Source organism: Homo sapiens, chromosome 17 (genome assembly GCF_000001405.40).
Source record: "Homo sapiens chromosome 17, GRCh38.p14 Primary Assembly".
In the NCBI taxonomy this organism is placed as follows: domain Eukaryota; kingdom Metazoa; phylum Chordata; class Mammalia; order Primates; family Hominidae; genus Homo; species Homo sapiens.
Window position 1 is genome coordinate 27,273,680 of NC_000017.11, and position 20,213 is coordinate 27,293,892.

General features: G+C 43.4%; 2 pseudogenes, besides 1 other annotated feature; both read left to right on the forward strand.

Annotated features, from left to right (window-relative positions):
* RPL34P31 (ribosomal protein L34 pseudogene 31) lies at positions 395-839 on the forward strand (annotated as a pseudogene).
* Positions 6,750-7,282, forward strand: RPS16P8 (ribosomal protein S16 pseudogene 8; annotated as a pseudogene).
* Positions 20,164-20,213: an enhancer, noted in NCBI's record as "active region_11892". NCBI's record gives its function as "activates an Ori minimal core promoter by ATAC-STARR-seq in GM12878 lymphoblastoid cells {active_cell/tissue: GM12878}" and the evidence as "EXISTENCE:reporter gene assay evidence [ECO:0000049][PMID:35858748]".

Genomic DNA, 20,213 nt, shown 5'->3' on the forward strand with positions numbered 1-20,213 from the left:
TTATAGTTCTAGCTAGATGGTAACACCTGTGGGGCTGAGGCAGTGTTCTTCAGAAGGCAGTGTGTGTTCTCAATCAGCATCCAACATATGGTAATATTTCTGTCATAGCCAGGATTCCCAGGTCTGGAAGTCAAAGGATGGGAATGGGAATAGTTTCTTCTCACTATTACTCCTAGCAATCCATTAGCGACACTTCTGCTTTCCAGCCCCATGAATGGTCCAGAGATTTTGGCTCCAAAGGGATAAATGCTTCCATCAGGGGCACAACAATGATTCCAATGAACTGGAAATCAAGAATGCTACCCAGCCACTTTGGGCTCATGCCTCTGAATCAACAGGCAAAGAAGGAGTACTGTCTGTGGTGATTGATCCTGACCATCAAGAGAAAATGGGGCTCTTCCAGGGATGCTGTCTACAGGCACTCAGAATGGTCCAGCGTTTGACATACATTGTAGGCTTTCCTACAATACAGCCTCTAACAAAACTAGGCTGTCCCGAACCAAAACTAGGCTGTCCCGAACCCCTGGTAATAGAATTGTTTATCTTTATACCAAGAAGTTTGGGAAAGCACCAAAATCTGCATGTGGCATGTGCCCAGGCAGACTTCAAGTGGTTCCTGCTGTAAGACCTAAAGTTCTTATGAGATTGTCCAAAACAAAGGAACATGTCAGCAGGGCCTGTGGTGGTTCCATGTGTGCTAAATGTGTTCGTGACAGGATCAAGCATGCTTTCCTTACTGAGGAGCAGAAAATCGTTGTGAAAGTGTTGAAGGCACAAGCACAAAGTCAGAAAACGAAATTAAAAAATGAAACTTTTTTGAGTAATAAAAATGAAAAGACTTAAAAAAAGAAAGAGAAAATGAGGATGCTGTTATGAAATGAGGGTAAGGGGGCATATGCCTGGAATGCAAGAGATTCTCCAGGGTTCCCCTTTGTCCTCCCAAGCCCAGGGATTAAAGTCAATTGAAAACTATAACAACCCAGTTAAGGCAGGGCTGTTGATGGTCCAGACGGTTCAGGAATGAAGGTCTGGGTTATTTTAGCAGGCAGGGAACTAAAATCAGCTGAGGTGCCTGCTGAGGACACAAATAATAGGAATGGGAAGTGGAAGAAAGTAGTTATAAATGAAGTATGGCAAGGGGCTCATGCTCATGGAATTCATTTTTTTGTTTGTTTGTGTTTTTTTGTTTTTTTTTTTTAGACAAGTCTCACTCTGTTGCCCAGGCTGGAGTGCAGTGGTGCAATCTCGACTCACCACCATCTCCACTTCCTGGGTTCAAGCGATTCTCCTGCCTCAGCCTCCCAAGTAGCTGGGATTAGAGGCACCCACCGCCATGCCCAGCTAATTTTTTTTTTTCCGTATTTTTGGTAGAGATGGGGTTTCGCCACGTTCGCCAGGCTGGTCTTGAACTCCTGACCTCAAGTGGTCTGCCCACCTTGGCCTCCCAAAGTGCTGGCATTACAGGCGGTAATATGAGCCACTACGTCCGGCGGGAATTCATATTCTTATCATGTTCCCATCATTCCGAAGCAGCTGGCTTGATAAAATAGTTTACAGCCATGTAGCTAGCTGCAGAAATAAGGACTGTAATGAATATTTCTTCCTTTTTTTACATGAATATGTTTGTGTCTATATGAATAAAGTAGTTTGATTTTCTTTCCCTCTCCCATACCCATACTTAATAGCAGATTAGATTTATATCAGTTTTTAAATTGTGGAATACCAAAGGAAAAGTGTGAATTAGGTAGGAAAATGAATACCCTTCAAAAACTGAAAAGGAATTTTGCCTCATCTTTCTGGGGAAAGGGTTAACGTGTTTTGTGTTGTACATGGTACAGTTGTGTCATATTAGACAGAAAGATGCCTTAGTTGTTATCTTTATTTAGAGGTTAAGTGTGGTTTAAAACATGGGTGCCTTAATCCTGGCCTGTGGAGTCCAGGAGCGGAAGTGGGAGAGAGGCCGGCTGGGAACTGTAGTAGCCTCACCTCGGTGTTCACAGCAGGTAGGTGGTCATTTTGCTAATGGCTTGGTGAGAGTGGACAGTAATTAGGCTTTCGCACTTTGGAGGATGGCTCCGGCTAAGAGAAGCGAAATGCTTCTCGAGTGAAAGGGCTTTTTATTATTTTTATTTATTATTTATTTATTTTTTGTAGAAGTGTGGTGGGGGGAGTGGAGGGGGTTACCATGTTGGGCAGGCTGGTCTCGAACTCCAGACCTCTAGTGATCCTCCCGCCTCTGCCTCCCAAAGTGCTGGGATTACAGACGTGAGCCACCGCGCCTGGCCAGGACTTTTATTTGCGCTTCCTCTTACACATGGCGAGTGAGCGCCTGAGATTCGGAGTGTCTCCTTCGCAGAGGACGCCTATGGTAGGGGCTTAGTGTTTGCTGAATTAAAGGGAATTTGTCTTCCTAACTTTAGATTCGCAACACTTCAGAACCGAATGAGAGACCTTCCTCCATAAAATTGACTTTATAAATCTTTTTCTTTTCTTTCCTTTTTTTTTTTTTTTTTTTTTTTTTTTTGTTAGAGCCAAGGTCTCGCTCTGTTGCCCAGGCTGAAGTGCCGTGCAGTGATCATGGCTCCCTGCAGCCTTGAACTCCTGAGCTCAAGAAATCCTCCTGCCTCAGTAAGTCACCAAGCCTGGCTAATTCTTTCTTTATTTTTTTATTTTTTATTTTTATTTTTTTGTAGAGAAGTGGGTCTTGCTTGGTTGCCCAGGCTAATCTCGAACTCCTGGGCTCAAGTGATCCTCCCTCCTCGGCTTCCCAAAGTTGAGATTGTAGGCATGAACTATCACGCCTGGCCTTATAAATCTTTATTCATCTTTGCAAACTTCTAATTATCAGAGAATATAGTCAGGTCTAATCCATCATTTTACAAATAAAGTGACTTCCTGACATCCCCCAGCTAAATAAATAATAAATATATAAATAAATAAACTCAGGTGCCAAATTGAGAAGCGGTAGACCATGGTGGCTTTGAAACGTATTGTGTCCCCTTGGCGAGGTGGAACTACGTTTCCCAGCATCCCCTGTGGATATGTTTCTGGTTAGGGTGGGCCACAGGAGACATTCTCATGCAGATTTGAGGGCGGGAGCGAAGCAGCAGACATTTTGTGGCTCGTGTTATTGTTTATCTGCTGGTTTACCTCCTTGGCTTGGGCCAGCAGCTGGGCCTAAAACTGCTCCGCCTTCCCCCAAGTCCTTCTCCAGCGTTTCCTACTCCTAGGCTAGGTGTGTACTGAAGGAACGCAGCTGCTTCTGCAGGATGGCCATACTATCAAGGTCAAAGGCAAAGAGAATTGACACGGTTTTAGTTTGCCTTTGTGGGTTCCAGCTGGTATTTGCTTTTCTCTACGCCTTCCTGACTGCCTTTCCTGACGTCTTCAAGCTCCAGGATCAGCTGTGACGATAACAGCTTTACAGGGATTGCTTAAGCAGTTCCCACAATTGTGTAAGATTATATGCGGTATATATGATATATAATATACATACCCTAGTGGGTTCTGCTCTGCTTCAATCTCTTCTGTGCTAGAATCCTGACTGATTGTATTATAATGATTTTGTAATCCGGTAAATGCATTATCTTCTTCGGATTTGCACTTCCGAAAACTTTTCATTCAGAATGGTTTGTGGTGGATTAAATCAGGGGTGTCCAATCTTTTGGCTTCCCCAGGCCACGTTGGAAGAAGAATGGTCTTGGGCCACGGTTAAGATAGGCTAACATTTACGATAGCTGATGAGCTAAAGAAAAAAAAAATCACAAAAAAATCTGATAATGTTTTAAGAAAGTTTACAAATTCGTGTTGGGCCACAATCAAAGCCTGGGCCACATGCAGCTAGTGGGCCGTGGTTTGGACAAGCTTGAACTACATTGAAGTCATTATTGCTGTGTTGCCTGGGCTGGAGTGCAGTGGCCATTCACGAGCACAATTATTGCAAGCTACAACCTTAACCTCCTGGGCTCGAGCAGTCCTGCCTCAGCCTCCATAGTAGCTGGGCCTACATGAATTTTGAAGAACAATAAACTTGATCAGATAAACAGTTCACGTGTGTAAGCTTTTCACAGTTGCTTAACATAAAAATTGCTATGTGGACCAGGTGCTGTGGCTCACGCCTTTAATCCCAGCACTCTGGAAGGCCGAGGCTGGTGGATCACTTGAGGCCAGGAGTTCGAGACCAGCCTGTCCAACATGGTGAAAACCTGTGTCTACTAAAATTACAAAAATTACCTGAGTGTGGTGGTGCACACCTGTAATCCCAGCTACTCAGGAGGCTGAGGCATGAGAATCCCTGGTACCAGGGAGGTACAGGTTGCAGTGAATCACTGCACTCCAGCCTGGGTGACAGAACAAGATCCTGTCTCAAAAAAAAAAAAATGCTATGTGACAAACTAGAGATAACATGTACGTATTTCTTAGATATAACAGAGATAAATGTCCAAAGAGATAAATTTTGTTTTCCAACTCTTTTTTTTTTTTTTTTTTTTTTTTTTTTTTTTGAGACAGAGTTTTGCTCTGTCACCCAGGCTGGAGTGCAATGGTGCGATCTCGGCTTACCGCAAACTCCACCTTCCAGGTTCAAGGGATTCTCCTGCCTCAGCCTCTCTAGTAGCTGGGATTACAGGCATGTGCCACCACACCTGGCTAATTTTGTATTTTTAGTAGAGATGGAGTTTCTCCATGTTGGTCAGGCTGGTCTCGAACTCCCAACCTCAGGTAATCCACCCGCCTCGGCCTCCCAAAGTGCTGGGATTACAGGCATGATCCACTGTGCCCGGCCTGTTTTCCCACTCTTATTATGTACCCACAAAGCAATAAATTGAACAAGTTGAGTAGTTGCCTCTGAGTGGTAGGAAGTGATGAAGGGGTAGGAGTGAAACTGCTGCTTTTGCTCTAAGCCTTTTTAGCATTATTTGACCCCTAGACTAGTTGCATGGAATATTTTGATAAAAAATAAACATTGGTTACAAAAACAGTTTTAATAAAAGCAAAAACCATACCACCTATTTGTATAGGGTGGGCAAGAAGAAAGAAGATAGGAAAGGTTATCATTTGAGTTGGACAATAGACTTCAGTACTGGAGAGTTTCCAATAGAAGTTGAAAGGAAGGTCAGGTTCCCTCCACTATTGTCCTATAACCCTGCCAAATCCCCCTCTGCGAGAAACACCCAAGAATGATCAATAAAAAAAATAAATAAAATAAAATAAATAAAAATAAAAATAAAAAAATAAAAAAAAGAAAGGAAGGTCAGGTTTAGGGAGGATTATGAAGCTGTGAGATTTAAAAGGATAAGAGAATGAGCTCTTCCTTCTTTCACAGTCATTTTCTACAAAAAGAACATCTTGGCAACATAGTCTCAGGCTCCCCCCCTCCTCTCCACCTCTCTGCCTTCTCTTTTTATACTGTATTTATTGTGCTAACTGAATCTAAATCTCAGAAATAATTGAAACAATACTTTGAAGCAGCTCCTCTCAGAGTTGTGTTTCATAGACTTGAGGAGTCTTGAGTTCTGGGATTGGTATAGTAATGGCCATAAAAAATAATTTTCACTTAAAAAAAAATTTGGCTAGCCACTTGGAGGCTGAGGTGGGAGGATCACCTGAGGCTAGGAGGTCAAGGCTGCAGTGTGCTGTGATTGCGCCACTGCACTCCAGCCTGGGTGACACAGTGAGACCCTGTCTCAAAAAAACAAACCAGGCTGGGCGTGACTCATGCCTGTAATCCCAGCGCTTTGGGAGGGCAAGGTAGGTGGATCACTTGAGGTTAGGAGCTTGAGACCAGCCTGGCCAGCATGGTGAAACCCCATCTCTGCTAAAAATACAAAAATTAGCCAGGTGTGGTGGCACTGTACCTGTAGTCCCAGCTACTCGGAAGGCTGAGGCAGGGGGAGGTTGAGGCAGGAGAATTGCTTGAACCCCGGAGGGAGAGTTTGCTGTGAGCCGAGATTGTGCCACTGCACTCCAGCATGGGGAAAAGAGTGAGACTCTGTATCAAAAAAATGTAAAATAAAATAAAATAAAATAAATAAAATAAAAATCTTCAATGGCAGAATAATTACTAGTTATAAAATTACGTGATGTGAGAGAGGGTCCCAGCTTAAATGCCATTTACTACCCATAGTCTTTAGGTTCCTTTCCATCCTTCCTTCCTTCCTTTCTGCTTTTCTTCTTCCCAGATAACAAGCTGAGAAATTTAGAGTCTCGCCCTGTCGCCCAGGCTGGAGTGCAGTGGTGCAATCTCAGCTCACTGCAACCTCCACATCCTGGATTCAAGCCATCCTCCTGCCTCAGGCTCCCGAGTAGCTGGGACTACAGGTGTGTAACACCATGCCTGGCTAATTTTTGTATTTTTAGTAGAGATGGGGTTTCACCATGTTGGCCAGGTTAGTCTCAAACTCCTGACCTCAGGTGATCCTCCCACCTTGGCCTCCCAAAGTGCTGGGATTACAGGCATGAGCCACCATGCCCAGCCTAAGTTTCTTGACAAAGAAAATTATTAGGATTTTTTTTTTTTTGGTGTGTTATGTTGAGGGTGAAATGAACGGATGAATGGTAGATGAGTTATCCAAAATCAGATTGCATCAGACAAGCCACTGAGAAATAAGAGGAATCTATCACTTGCTAGTTCCTTGTGTGTTATGGGTCCACTAACTTTTTGGCTATATTTCAATAAAGAAAACAGAAAGAACTCTAAGATATTCACCATATGTTCTATAAAATGGGTGCATTGAAATATATGACACCAGCTTTTCCAGGAGCAATGCTGCATGGTGAGGATCTCTCATCTACGCCCATAGCCATGTGGTCCAAGAGCCTGCTGCAGTCCATGCAGGTCTCTGGACAGAGGAAGATGACCACAGCCATGGCGGGCCGCAAACATGGCAGTGGCCTCATGGAAGTGAACAGGCGGCCCCTGGAGATGATGGAGTCATGCACACTGCATTACAAGCTGCTGGAACCAGTTCTGCTTCTGGGCAAGGAGCGATTTGCTGACGTGGACATCCATGTCCTACTGAAGGGTGATGGTCAGGTGGCCCAGATTCATGCTATCTGTCAGTCCATCTCCAAAGCCCTGGTGGCCTGTTACCAGAAATACGTGTGGCTTCCAAGAAGGTCAAAGACGTCCTCATCCAATGTGGCTGGACCCTGCTGGTGGCTGACCCTCATCGCTGCAAATCCAGAAAGTTTGGAGGCCCTGGTGACCGTGCTTGTTACTAGGAATCCTACCCTAAAGCCCATCACGAGTTATCAGTAAAAGTCCATCATTGTGTAATAAATACCTACGTAATAAATAACGTTTGAGTTTAAAAAACTAAAACTAAAATAAAATATATGACTCAATGGGCCAGGGAGACAGAGTGCTGGGGATTTGGCATTAGGAGAACTGTGGGGGCAGCAGCATCCATGGAGGCTGAATGAGGTGGGGACTGTGAATGACCTGCTGAAATATGAAAAGAAGTTTCCATCTGAGAAGGCAGCAGGCTTAGTGTCCAAGAGTCTGCAGTTTGAAAACACATCATGCCTGGTGTGGAGCAAGTACAATGATGTTCTCCAAGGCATCAGCCTGCCAAAAGGGGCTGCTATTCAAAAGGGGGTAAAAGACAAACCAACCAACCCAACAGGGCTCTATACCTGGCTGAGGGCACTGCCAGCTTCTGGACTGTGAAAAGGCCCTAAGATACGTGCAAGAGCTGCCGTGGGCAGAGAAGCCAGGCCAAGGAGCTGCAGAAAAGAGAAAGCCTCTGTCCTTCCTCCTTTCCCTCCCCTGTTGTAACTCTCAACCATCCCCATCTCTGCTCCCCCCTCCCAAATTTAGCTCCTCATCCTCAGGTCCTTGTGAATTCCTGGTTATTAAGACCTTTTCCTACCCCCATGTTTAAGGCTTTTAAGTCTCCTTTTAAATCATCTCCCTCCAGGCAATTCCCTCTCAACATCCTCTCACCAGCTTAGGGAAGCCCTCCCGATGAGATTTAGGAGATAGACAGGTCACATGACTATCTCTATGTGGATTATTTCTACATAAGAAAAACATCCAGTTTGGATTGATTCTTAACAGCATTAATCTTGGAGTTTCAATTTTTCAAAATAACGTATCAAATTTTGCCATTGTTCTAGCATATGGTGCAATATAAAATGGTCGAATGATATTTATGCAGGGAAGAAAGATGAAGTCAGGAGGCCCACTACGTGGATCCACTTGTGTCCCCGTGTGAGGTGATGAATAAACTAAGGAAGCCCATGACTGAGCAAAGGAGCTGGAGATGATTATGGGTCAGGATTGTTGGCTCTTTTGATCAGTGTTGTTTCAGTTTGGTGGCAAAATCAGCCTAGAGCCCAGGTCTCCAAATTTATAATTTCATGGTTTCCACGAAGCACATGAACTCAAGTGAGAAAGAAAGGTTTCAATTCTGACTCTGCCTCTTACATAAGTATGTGAATTTGCAGAAGTTACTTAACCTCTGAAACTTTCCTTATCTGTGAAATGGGGAAATACTTGCTGGGAGGATTAAATGAGCTAACCCAGCAAAGGGCCAGACAGAGTTTAATGAAGGGTAGCCTTCTCCCTAGCTCCTTAGTGCTTGCTTGAGAGCTGGAACAAACCATAAGGATTGCACAACTCCCAAATTCCCAGATCACATCAAGGTGGCCAAATCTTAAGAGGAATTTAAGCTCCTAGGCTTAAATTTTGCTTGGCTTAATCATACTATTCGCTATGCTGGGATAATTCTCCAAACCTCTCTGGAACTGAGTTCATTCCTCTGTGGGATGAAGAAATAACAGTCTATACCCTTGAGACACAAGGTTAGATAACAGCCAATTAATGCTTACAAAGTACATTGGTATCCAAGGATGAAAGTGCAAAGTCAAAACATATTTTCGGCTGGGCTTGGTGGCTCACACCTGTAATCTCCACATATTGGGAGGCCAAGGCAGGCAGATGGCTTGAGCCCAGGAGTTTGAGACCAGCCTGGGCAGCATAGTGAGACCTTGTCTCTGTTATATTTTAAACTTAAAAAAATTTTTTGTTTTAATTTAGGCCCGGCAAGGTGGCTCACACCTGTAATCCCAGCACTTTGAGAGGCCGAGGCAGACGGATCACTTGAGGCCAGGAGTTTGAGACCAGTCTGGCCAACATGGCAAAACCTCACCTCTACTAAAATACAAAAATTAGCCAGACATGGTGGTGTGTGCCGTAATATTCCATAATTCGACACAGATGATTAGGGCATCTTCTGCTCTTTTGACTAAGAGTCAATGGCTCTGTTCTCCCATCCCACTTTCTTTCCATATCCTTTTTCAGGTGTTTTAATATCTAATCCAGAAGAAACATGGATTTCCATTTTATTAACACTCATAAATTTAACTATTGTATATGTTATTCCAAAAATGCACAAGAAAGAGATTATTTGTAATGGAAGGAATATTGGATTTTGAGGGAGCTGATGTTCATTCTCACCCTTGATTTGCCATTTACTGACAATGTGATCTTAGGTAACCTAAGTTCTTGTTAGCACTAAAATTTTAGGAAATGCAAATGAGTCTATGAAAGGGAAATAGCTTAGCTGAAAGTTCACTTCCTTCCCTTTTCTAATTGAGAAATTGAACACCCTTACAGTAACATTTTAATATAGACCCAAAACTGAAAGGAGATCTTCATTTTAATTCTCATTTTTTATCTTAGTCTGGTACTTGGCACATAGTAAGACATCAGTAAATATTCAGTGAATAGAGTGGCTTCTCATGAACATGAGACCAAGAAGAAGAATGTTTCATCATGTAAGAACTCAATTCAAAGAGAATTAACTAAGCATCTGCTATTTGGCAGCTGTATTTGCCAGGCATTCTAATTTTTTATCTTTCATAAAAATTGAGATGAGGCTGGGCGCAGTGTCTCACACCTGTAATCCCAGCACTTTGGGAGGCTGAGGTGGGCAGATCATGAGGTCAGGAGTTTGAGACCAGCCTGGCCAATATGGTGAAACCCCGTCTCTACTAAAAATACAAAAAATTAGCTGGGCGTGGTGGCGTGTGCCTGTAATCCCAGCTACTTGGGAGGCTGAGGCAGGAGAATTGCTTGAACCCAGGAGGCAGAGGTTGCAGTGAGCCAAGATCATGACATTGCATGCCAGCCTGGGTGACAGAGCAAGATTCTGTCTCAAAAAAAAAAAAGTTTAAAAAAATTGAGATGAATGGATATGACCTCTGTCTTCCATTAACTTATGACTTTGGGGAGAGATAACATGTATACAAAGTTCAGTGTAATAGGAAAAGTGCTGGGAGTCTTGCAAGGAAAACCATGCCTCATCCTCATTTTATCACTAACCAGTTGTATGAATGTGAGAAAGTTATTTATACACTAAGACAATAGCTTCATCATCTGTAAAAGGTAATACTACATGATCTGGCCTCTAAGGTCATTTCTAGCTATGAGTCTGAAAATGATTCTATGCCTCTGAAACATTAGTTTAAATGCCTGTTCTTAAAAACTCCTAAATATTTATTGAAGATAACCTCTTCAATACACTTATTTTTCCATCTGCAACTAATAAGCAAAGTCACACAAAACAGTAGTGCTTACTTCTCTTGGAGGATACTTCCAAGACCCTAGTAGATGCCTAAACCTGCAGATAGTACTGAACCTTATGTATACTATGTTTTTTCTTATAGATACCTATGATAAAGTATAATTTATAAATTAGGCACAGGGCTGGGCGTGGTGGCTCGTGCCTGTAATCCCAGCACTTTGGGAGGCTGAGGCAGGCAGGTCACCTGAGATCAGGAGTTTAAGACCAGCCTGGCCAACATGGTGAAACCCCGACTCTACTAAGAATACAAAAATTAGCTGAGCATGGTGGTGCACGCCTGTAATCCCAGCTACTTGGGAAGCTGAGGCGGGAGAATCGCTTGAACCCCAGAGGCGGAGGTTGCAGTGAGCCAAGATCACCCAGCTTGGGCAACAGAGTGAGACTTTGAAAAAAAAAAAAAGGAATCTGAAAAAAAAAAAGAAAAAACCAAATTCAGTAACTAAAACAATATGGAAGATTAAAAAGAACTGAAATAATGTGGAGGAGTCAGTCAGAAGTTCCTTAGCCTAAAAAAAATACTATGACCTATATTCTAGCAAGTAAAGATAGCAATAGCAGATCTTGGATTCAAATCCATTGTACCAGGACAAGACTGGCTGGCAGGGGTGAAATCTTGAGGAGAGATAGCCTGTGACCTGTCACTAGGACTCTCTGAGACCCTTGAAGAGGATTCAAATTCCAGCCCATGTCATTGCACCAGAAGTGGGAAACAGCTGACTAAAAAGCTTGCCAAAAAAGCCGGGCACCTGGAGATAAGACTCAGGAAGCGTTTTCCAAACAAGAAACAAAAGAGTGAAGGAGGAGGCCACGAAAGAGAAATCCTGGAGTTGTATGCAGTTGGTGAAGGATCATTGTTTTCTTCCTCGCAATCTCTGTGGAATGGTCACAGGCAAAAACATCAGAAAATGAAAGTGCAGAGCTCTATTAGAGGAAGAGGAAAATTATTGATAGGAGGAAAATCTCCATCATCGCATGGAATATTCCATTTTACACAGATTTCTTCTGAAGGTCAAGGACTGAACTAAAGGACACAGCCTGCATGTAACTGCCCTGAGTTTGGGGGTAAGGAGAGGAGAGGGAGCTGGGTTATCTCATCAGTGTGTATAGGAAATCCAACAGAGCAATAGAGATGGGGGGCCTCTGCTTACTCTTTTTTTTTTTTTTTTTTTTTTTGAGATAGGGTCTCACTCTGTCTCCCAGGCTGGAGTGCAATGGCACAATCATGGCTCACTGCAGCCTTGTCCTCCTGAGCTTAAGCGATCCTCTCACCTCAGCCACCCAAGTAGTAGCTGGGACTACAGGCATACTACCATACCAGACTAATTTTTTAAAAATTTTGTAGAGATGAGGTGTCATGTTGCCCAGGCTGGTCTCAAACTCCTGGACTCAAGTGATCCTCCCGCCTTAGCCTCCCAGAGTGTCAGGATTACAGGCCTGAGCCACCACACCCAGCCCCACTGCTTACTCTTTCAGATATAATTTCCTGTAAGCCTCCAGCATTCTGGCCCAGACACAGATGCAGAAACATCTAGACTGGCTGCACCATTTTCCACACTTTGAGCCTTTTTGGGTACAGTTTTAAACTAAGATCAAAGTATACATCTTTGAAAACCCAATACTAATATTCTGCTCAAACCACATTGTCAAAACACCCCACACAAAAAATGTGAAATCAGGGAAAAAGTGAAAAATAAGACAGCAGGGTAAAAATGGGGGCACTATTAGATATTTCATCCCCAGCAAGACTACCACCGCCAAAAGTGGTTGCCTTCAGAATTTTCCTCTGGGTCCTCTTATTTTTCCAGCATTTCCACAATTACAAAGATATCTATTACTATTTATTAATGTACATGCTTATGTGTATAAATTGTACTTGCCCAGCTGAATCCTGGGCAAATTCCATATCCTTTCATTCTAGAATCCCAGACTTAGTGCCACAAATCCCATGATTTGAAACTCCTGGCCTAGAATCCAAACCCTGCATAATTTTGTATGCATCCTTAGACTTAGCATGGAGAAGTTGTAAAAACAATGCAATAGCAGAGAGGTCCAAAAAGCAAAAATAAGCAACTCTCCTATTGCTTAAGCAATGCATGCTGTGCAAGGCATTTTTAATTGTTTTTTGTTTGGACTTGGTCAGGACAGAGTCAAAACAGTATGATAGGCTTTTTTTTTTTTTTTTTTTTTTTTGGGAGACAGAGTCTCATTCTGTTATCCAGGCTGGAGTGCAGTAGTGCCATCTTGGCTCACTGCAAACTCCACCTCCCGGGTTCAAGTGATTCTCCTGCCTCAGCTTCCCAAGTAGCTGGGATTACAGGCACCCACTACCATGCCCGGCAAACTTTTTATATTTCTAGTAGAGATGGGGTTTCATCATGTTGGCCAGGCTCGTCTTGAACTCCGGACCTCAAGTGACCCGCCCACCTCAGCCTCCCAGAGTGGTGGGATTATAGACGTGAGTCACTGTGCCTGGCCATATGATAATCATTTTTATCTTTGAGATTTGACCACACTAGGAAACAATAAAATATTGGCATTGTGTTTGTTGAGTTTGGTTTTTTGGTTTTTGGGCTTAAAAAATTTTTTTTTTTGGTGGTAGTGGGCTTCATTCAATTCTCTGTTACAGAATTTATTAGCTTTTCTATTTTATTCATGTGTGGTTTTTTCTTTATTTTCTTTATTTTTTTTAAAGACGAAGTCTCACTGTGTTGCCCAGGCTGCAGTGCAATGGTGTGATCTCAGCTCACTGCAACCTCCGCCTCCCAGGTTCAAGTGATTCTCCTGCCTCAGCCTCCCAAGTAGCTGGGACTACAGGCGCCCGACACCACGCCCAGCTAATTTTTTGTATTTTTAGTAGACACAGGGTTTCATTACGTTATCCAGGCTGGTCTCAAACTCCCACCTCAGCCTCCCAAAGTGCTGGGATTACAGGTGCGAGCCACCGCACCTGGCATGTGGCTTTTGTTTTAAGTAAATGTTGCTTTCTTTTAGTTATAGGAAGGGGATATTTCCTTTCTTCTGTCACCAAAATATAGGTTCAAAAATAAGAACCTGCAGGAATCCTTACGAATTTTAAATTTATTTAGAGGTTTGTCTGCAACTTCAGAGCTCTATATGGATGCATATCCTGATAGCAACCCACTTGAATTGCTCAACAAAAAGACCACAGTTGTGAACTGGATACATTCATGGTATCAAGGGAAATATACCTGTAATGTCTATAGGAATAATGAAAAGTTAATTATAGGAGAAGCCCAGTCCTCCGCGATAGTAAGTATTGTGAAGAAAAGAAAAATGTTCAATGCCAAATGAAGTCAAAGTTACCTACAGTGATGTAGTAAAAAGTGTTTGTTTGTTTTTTGAGGCAAAGTCTTGCTCTGTTGCCTAGGGTTGAGTGCAGTGGCAAGATCTCGGCTCACTGCAACCTCCATCTCCTGGGTTCAAGCAATTCTCCTGCCTGAGCCTCCCGAGTAGCTGGGACTACAGGCATACACCATCACACCTGGCCAATATTTTTGTATTTTTAGTAGAGACAGGGTTTCACCATGTTGGCCAGGCTGTTCTTGAACTACTGAGCTCACATAATCTGCCCGCCTCAGCCTCCCAAAGTGCTGGGATTAGAGGCATGAGCCACCACTCCCAGCTAATTTTTGTATTTTTAATGGAGACAGAGTTTCACCATGTTGGTCAGGCTGGTCTTGAACTCCTAACCTCAAGTGATCTGCCTGCCTCAGGCAAAGTGTTGGGATTACAGGCATGAGCCACCACTTGGCTGAAAAGGTTTTTTAATACAGGAAAACATTATTTTATGATAGGAAAGAAAAGGCAAGACACAAACTTTTAAATTGTAATCTACTCCAAATGCTAATTATTTCCATATGCATAGTTATATTCACTCCCCCTGAACAAACGAATGTGACTATTGTTCCACCTCTTTAATGCTTCTGCACCTCCCTGTTCATATAAGAAAATGGTGTAGAAAAAGCAAAGGTATAACTACATGAAAAGCCTGCCTGTTTATACAACATTTTGCTGAGATGTGAGATAATAGCATGATGGAGGATGCATATACAGTTACATATACAGGTTGAATATCTCTCATTGGAAATGCTTGGGACCAGAAGTGTTTCAGATATCAGAATATTTGCATACACATAATGAGCTATCTTGAGGATGGCACTAAGTCTAACATGAGTCTAAACATGACATTTATTTATGTTTCATATACATCTTACACATAGACTGAAGGCGATTTTATACAATTTTTTTTTTTTTGAGATGAAGTCTCACTCTCTCACCCAGGCTGGAGTGCCGTGGCACGATCTTGGCTCACTGCAACCGCCGCCTCCCAGGTTCAAGCGATTCTCCTGCCTCAGCCTCCTGAGTACCTGGGACTACAGGCATGCGCCCCCACACCCGGCTAATTTTTGTAGTTTTAATAGAGACGGAGTTTCACCATGTTGGTCTTGAACTCCCGACCTTGTGATCTGCCCACCTTGGCCTCCCAAAGTGCTGGGATTACAGGCGTGAGCCACCGCGCCTGGCCTTATATAATATTTTTAGTAATTTTGTGCACAAAACAGAGATTTGACTGCGCAAACTTTTTTTTCTCTTTTTGAGGCAGCATCTCACTCTGTCACACGAGGTTGGAGTGCAGTGCTGCAATCTCTGCTCACTGCAATCTCTGCTTACTGCAATCTCTGCCTCCCAGGCTCAAGAGATCCTAGCACCTCAGCGATCGACCCCAGCTAATTTTTTGTATTTTTGGTAGAGACGGGGTTTCACCATGTTGCACAGGCTAGTCTTGAACTCCTGAGCTCAGGCGATCTACCCACCTCAGCCTCCCAAAGTGCTGAGATTATGGCTGTGAACCACTTTGCCCAGCCTGTACAAACTTTTGACTGTGACCTGTCACATGAGGTCAGGTGTGGAATTTTCCACTTGCAGCATCATGTTGGAATTCAAAAAGCTTTGGATTTTGTAGCATTTCAGATTCTCAGATTAGGGATGCTCAGCCTGTATATGTATATGTGTGTGTGTGTATATATCTCAGGATAATAAATGTTGGTAAAAATTATGGGTAAATTGGCCTTAACAAATAACTATATAACAGTGATGTTTTTTGAATAATTCAAGAATGAGATTCAAGAGAATGGGATTTTAGTGGTTGGGTCAGCTTTGTTTTTGAAATGAATGCTTTCTAGAACTTTTGTTTATTATTATTTATTTTTATTTATTTATTTTTGAGATGGGGTCTCACTTTGTCTCCTAAACTGGGGTGCAGTAGCTCAATCACAGCTCACTACAGTCTTGACTTTACCAGGCTCAGGTGATCCTCCCACCTCAGCCTCCTGAGTAGCTGGTACTACAAGTGCGTGCCACCATGCCCAGCTAAATTTTTTGTATTTTTTTTGTAGAAGCAAGGTTTCACCATGTTGCTAAGGCTAATCTAGAACTCCTGGGCTCAAGCAATCTGCCTGCCTCAACCTACCAAAGTGCTGGGCTTATAGGCATGAGCCATCATGCCTGGCCTTTTATTTATTGTTTCAATTGTACATATACTTAATGTTATTTCACAGCTTTTTGCCAACCCTCTATTTTCTATGAGATTTTGATCTTTCAGTTTTGCAGTTAGCTAGGATTACTATATATAAAAATAGTATTTAACACATATATAGTACTCTGTGTCAGGCCCTGTTGTAAATACTAATCCTCAAAACTGTGAAGTAGGTATTATTACTATCCCCATTTTCTGGATGAGAAGACTGAGGCACAGGGAGGCTAAATTATTTGTCTAAAGACATGACATTACTAATACAACTTTTTAAGGGGAAGGAAATAACACCAAGGTGTCAATGGTGGTTTTTCAGGGTGTGGGGTTATAAAGGATTGTTAAGAGGATTGAAATGACAAGATCTTGAACTAAGCCCATGGCAGCTGAGCTGGGACAGACAGGACAGACTCTAGAACAGTTTAAGATAAAATATTGGCAAGCCTTGTGGATTGGTTGATTTCATGTTGGGATGAGGCATAGCAGGGAAGCTAGGAAGACTCACCTCTGGCACCTGTGACTGGGTGGACATTTCACTAGAGTAGGAAATACAAAAGATGGAGCAGACTGAGGAGAAATGATGTGTTCAGTTTTGACATTTTGAGTTTTATTGTAAGCATTTGAACATGTAAATTTTAAACTTAAGACAGGCCGGGCTCAGTGGCTCATGCCTGTAATCCCGGCACTTTGGGAAGCCGACACAGGTGGATCACCTGAGGTCAGGAGTTCGAGACCAGCCTGGTCAACATGGTGAAACACTGTCTTTACTAAAAATACAAAAATTAGCTGGGTATGGTGGTGTGCACCTGTAATCCCACCTACTGGGAAGGCTGACACAGGAGAACTGCTTGAGTCCAGGAGGCGAAGGTTGCAGTGAGCTGAGATCGCGCTGTTGCACTCCAGCCTGGGTGACAAAGCAAGACTCCGTCTCAAAAAAAAAAAAAAAAGACGGAAGTTAGCTCTCAACTTGAGGGTCTTCACACAGAGCTGGTATTTAAACCCAAGAAAGAGGTTGCCATCACCCAGGGAGACTGCGAAAGAAGGAAAAAAAAAAAGCTGTGGGCCAAGGACAGAACTCTAGAGAACCCCAACATCTATGCGACATGTAGGGAATAAGAAGCCCCTTCAGATTTGACATTAAAGTAGCAAACACAGATATGAAATGCCAGGTATATATTTGCTTTTCAAGCTAGGTTTCATTTATGAGAGGCAAGGTAGCATGGAAGCAGGGCAGTCAAACAAGTCTGAGTTCAGATCTAGCCCCTGCAGCTTACTCTGTCCTGTGGCTTCTCAGGTTACTAAGTGTCTATGAAATGTATGTCAATACACTGTATGTGCACTCCAGCCAGGGCGACAGAATGAGACTCCATCTCAGGGAGAAAAAAAAAAAAGAAAAAGTCATCACAATAATTCACTGATGGACACTCAAGAACTGGTATTTCCCATGAATTTGTATGGTATAGTACAAGTAACAGGGATAATAGCAGTTGGTTAAAAGAATTAACTGAGATGGATATAAATGTTGGTATATGAGCTACAAGACTGCATTAAAGTTTTTCTGTAATGTATGTCAATACACTGCTCATATGTTGTGAGCATGAAATCGGTTAATCCACAGAAGCACTTATATGGCTCAGTGCTTAGAAGTATCTATTACTAATGAGTACACAAATCATAAAATTATTTTTCATTCCATTGTCATGCTTTGCCAGTTGAGAAAATGGCCAGGAAGTCTGTTGGCTTGCAGGAATAAACTAAAATAGAAATTAAACAATTGTATTAAAAAGTCTGGCCGGGGTGGCTCACGCCTGTAATTCCAGCACTTTGGGAGGCCAAGGCGGGCAGATCACTTGAGGTCAGGAGTTTGAGACCAGCCTGGCCAACATGGTGAAATCCCGTCTCTACTAAAAATACAAAAATCAGCCAGCCATGGTGGCGTGTGCCTGTAATCCCAGCTACTCGGAAGGCTGAGGTAGGAGAATCACCTGAACCCAGGAGGCAAAGGTTGCAGTGAGCCGAGATCGTGCCACTGCACTCCAGCCTGGGCGACAGAGTGAGACTCCATCTCAGGGAGAAAAAAAAAAAGAAAAAGTCATCACAATAATTCACTGTTGGACACTCAAAAACTGGTATTTCCCATGAATTTGTATGGTATAGTACAAGTAACAGGGATAATAGCAGTTGGTTAAAAGAATTAACTCAGACTGATATGAATGTTGGTACATGAGCTACAAGACTGCATTAAAGTTTTTCTTTTGTTCTACTCTAAAAATTCAGCAACTAGGCCCAGTGCCTGATACAGAGTGAGTCCTCAAGATATCGTTGACTGAAGCTAACAAAGTGATTTATTGATTTATTTATTTATTGAGACAGAGTTTCACTCTTGTCACCCAGGCTAGAGTGCAGTGGTGCAACCTCAGCTCACTGCAACCTCTGCCTCCCGGTTTCAAGCAATTCTCCTGCCTTAGCCTCCAGAGTAGCTGGGACTTCGCCACTACGCCTGGCTAATTTTTTGTATTTTTAGTAGAGATGGGGGTTTCACCATGTTGGCCAGGCTGGTCTCGAACTCCTGACACCCGCCTCAGCCTCCCAAAGCGCTGAGATTACAGGCGTGAGCCACCGCCCCCAGCCTAACAAAGTGATTTTTTTTTAAAGACGAGGGGCAGGCAGGGCGCAGTAGCTTAACGCCTCTAATCCTAGCACTTTGAGAGGCCGAGGTGGGCAGATCACAAGGTCAGGAGTTCAAGACCAGCCTGGCCAATATCGTGAAACCCCCTCCCTACTAAAAGGATGAAAAAAATTAGCTGGGCGTGGTGGCAGCCACCTGTAGTCCCAGCTACTCGGGAGGCTGAGGCAGGAGAATCGCCTGAACCCGGGAGGCAGAGGTTGCAGTGAGCCGAGTTGGCGCCACTGCACTCTGCTCTGGGAGACAGAGCAAGACTCCGTCTCAAAAAAAAAAATAAATAAATAACCAAAAAAAAAAAAAAGGAGGGGCGATGTTTTATTAAACATTTCGCTATTTGAAGAATTAATACACTCATGCAAAGAAAAGATGAAGTAAACATGCCCTACAGTGTTATCATTTGAGATCTCTTAAAAGCGGCTATGCAGCCGGGCGTGGTGGCTCACGTTGTAATCCCAGCACTTTGGGAGGCTGAGGCGGGCGGATCACTCGAGGCCAGGAGTTCGAGACTAGCCTGGCCAACAGGGTGAAACGCCCTCTGTACTAAAAATACAAAAATTACCCGGGCTTGGTGTCACATGCCTGTACAAATCCCAGCTACTGGGGAGGCTGAGGCAGGAGAATTGCCTGAACCCGGGAAACGGAGGTTGCAGTGAGCCAAGATCACGCCATTGCACCCCAGCCTGGGAGAAGCGAGACTCCGTCTCAAAAAAAAAAAAAAAAAAAAAAAAAAAAGCGGCTATGCAACACTCTACTCTGTCCCATGAATATCTGCCACATATTTGAATTCCCAGTCTTATACGCCCCAGGCCTTTGCAATGTTTAGGGTCCACACGAGAAGCCATTAAAATGCAAATACGTCATCTGTGACCGGGAACCAAGCTGGCATCTAGCAGATACTGACACATTTATCAGTCTGATGTGTGGACAACTAGGTGCCTCCCAGAGGCCTTCAGGTAAGGTGGAGGAAGGGCCAATTCTGAGCTGACACAGTGGGATCCATCTTGGCCAGGACAGTGGGATCCATCTTGGCCAGGACAAAGGCAGTCCAGAGAGGCCCCGCGGCGCGGTGCGGCGCGATCACGCCCGAGTCTCCTTCTCGTTCCCCTCGGCCCTTCCTAAAACCTGCTGGCTCAGGTCTGAACAATCGCAGCTGGACAGGTGGTGCACAACGATGTTAATTTTCATCCTGTCTTTTTCATCAGTGCATCCTTCAGTTCCCTATTACTTGTGGGCTGGGGAGTTGGCCAAATTGAGTGAAAACCTGAAATGTCTTTTTGTTCTTTTGGTTCAGCCAGTTTAAGTTCCATGCAATCTTTAAGCTAGGAGGCTAATAATAATACAATTCTCTGCTTGCCCTTTTCAAAGCCACTTCAGCTTATAAACTCCA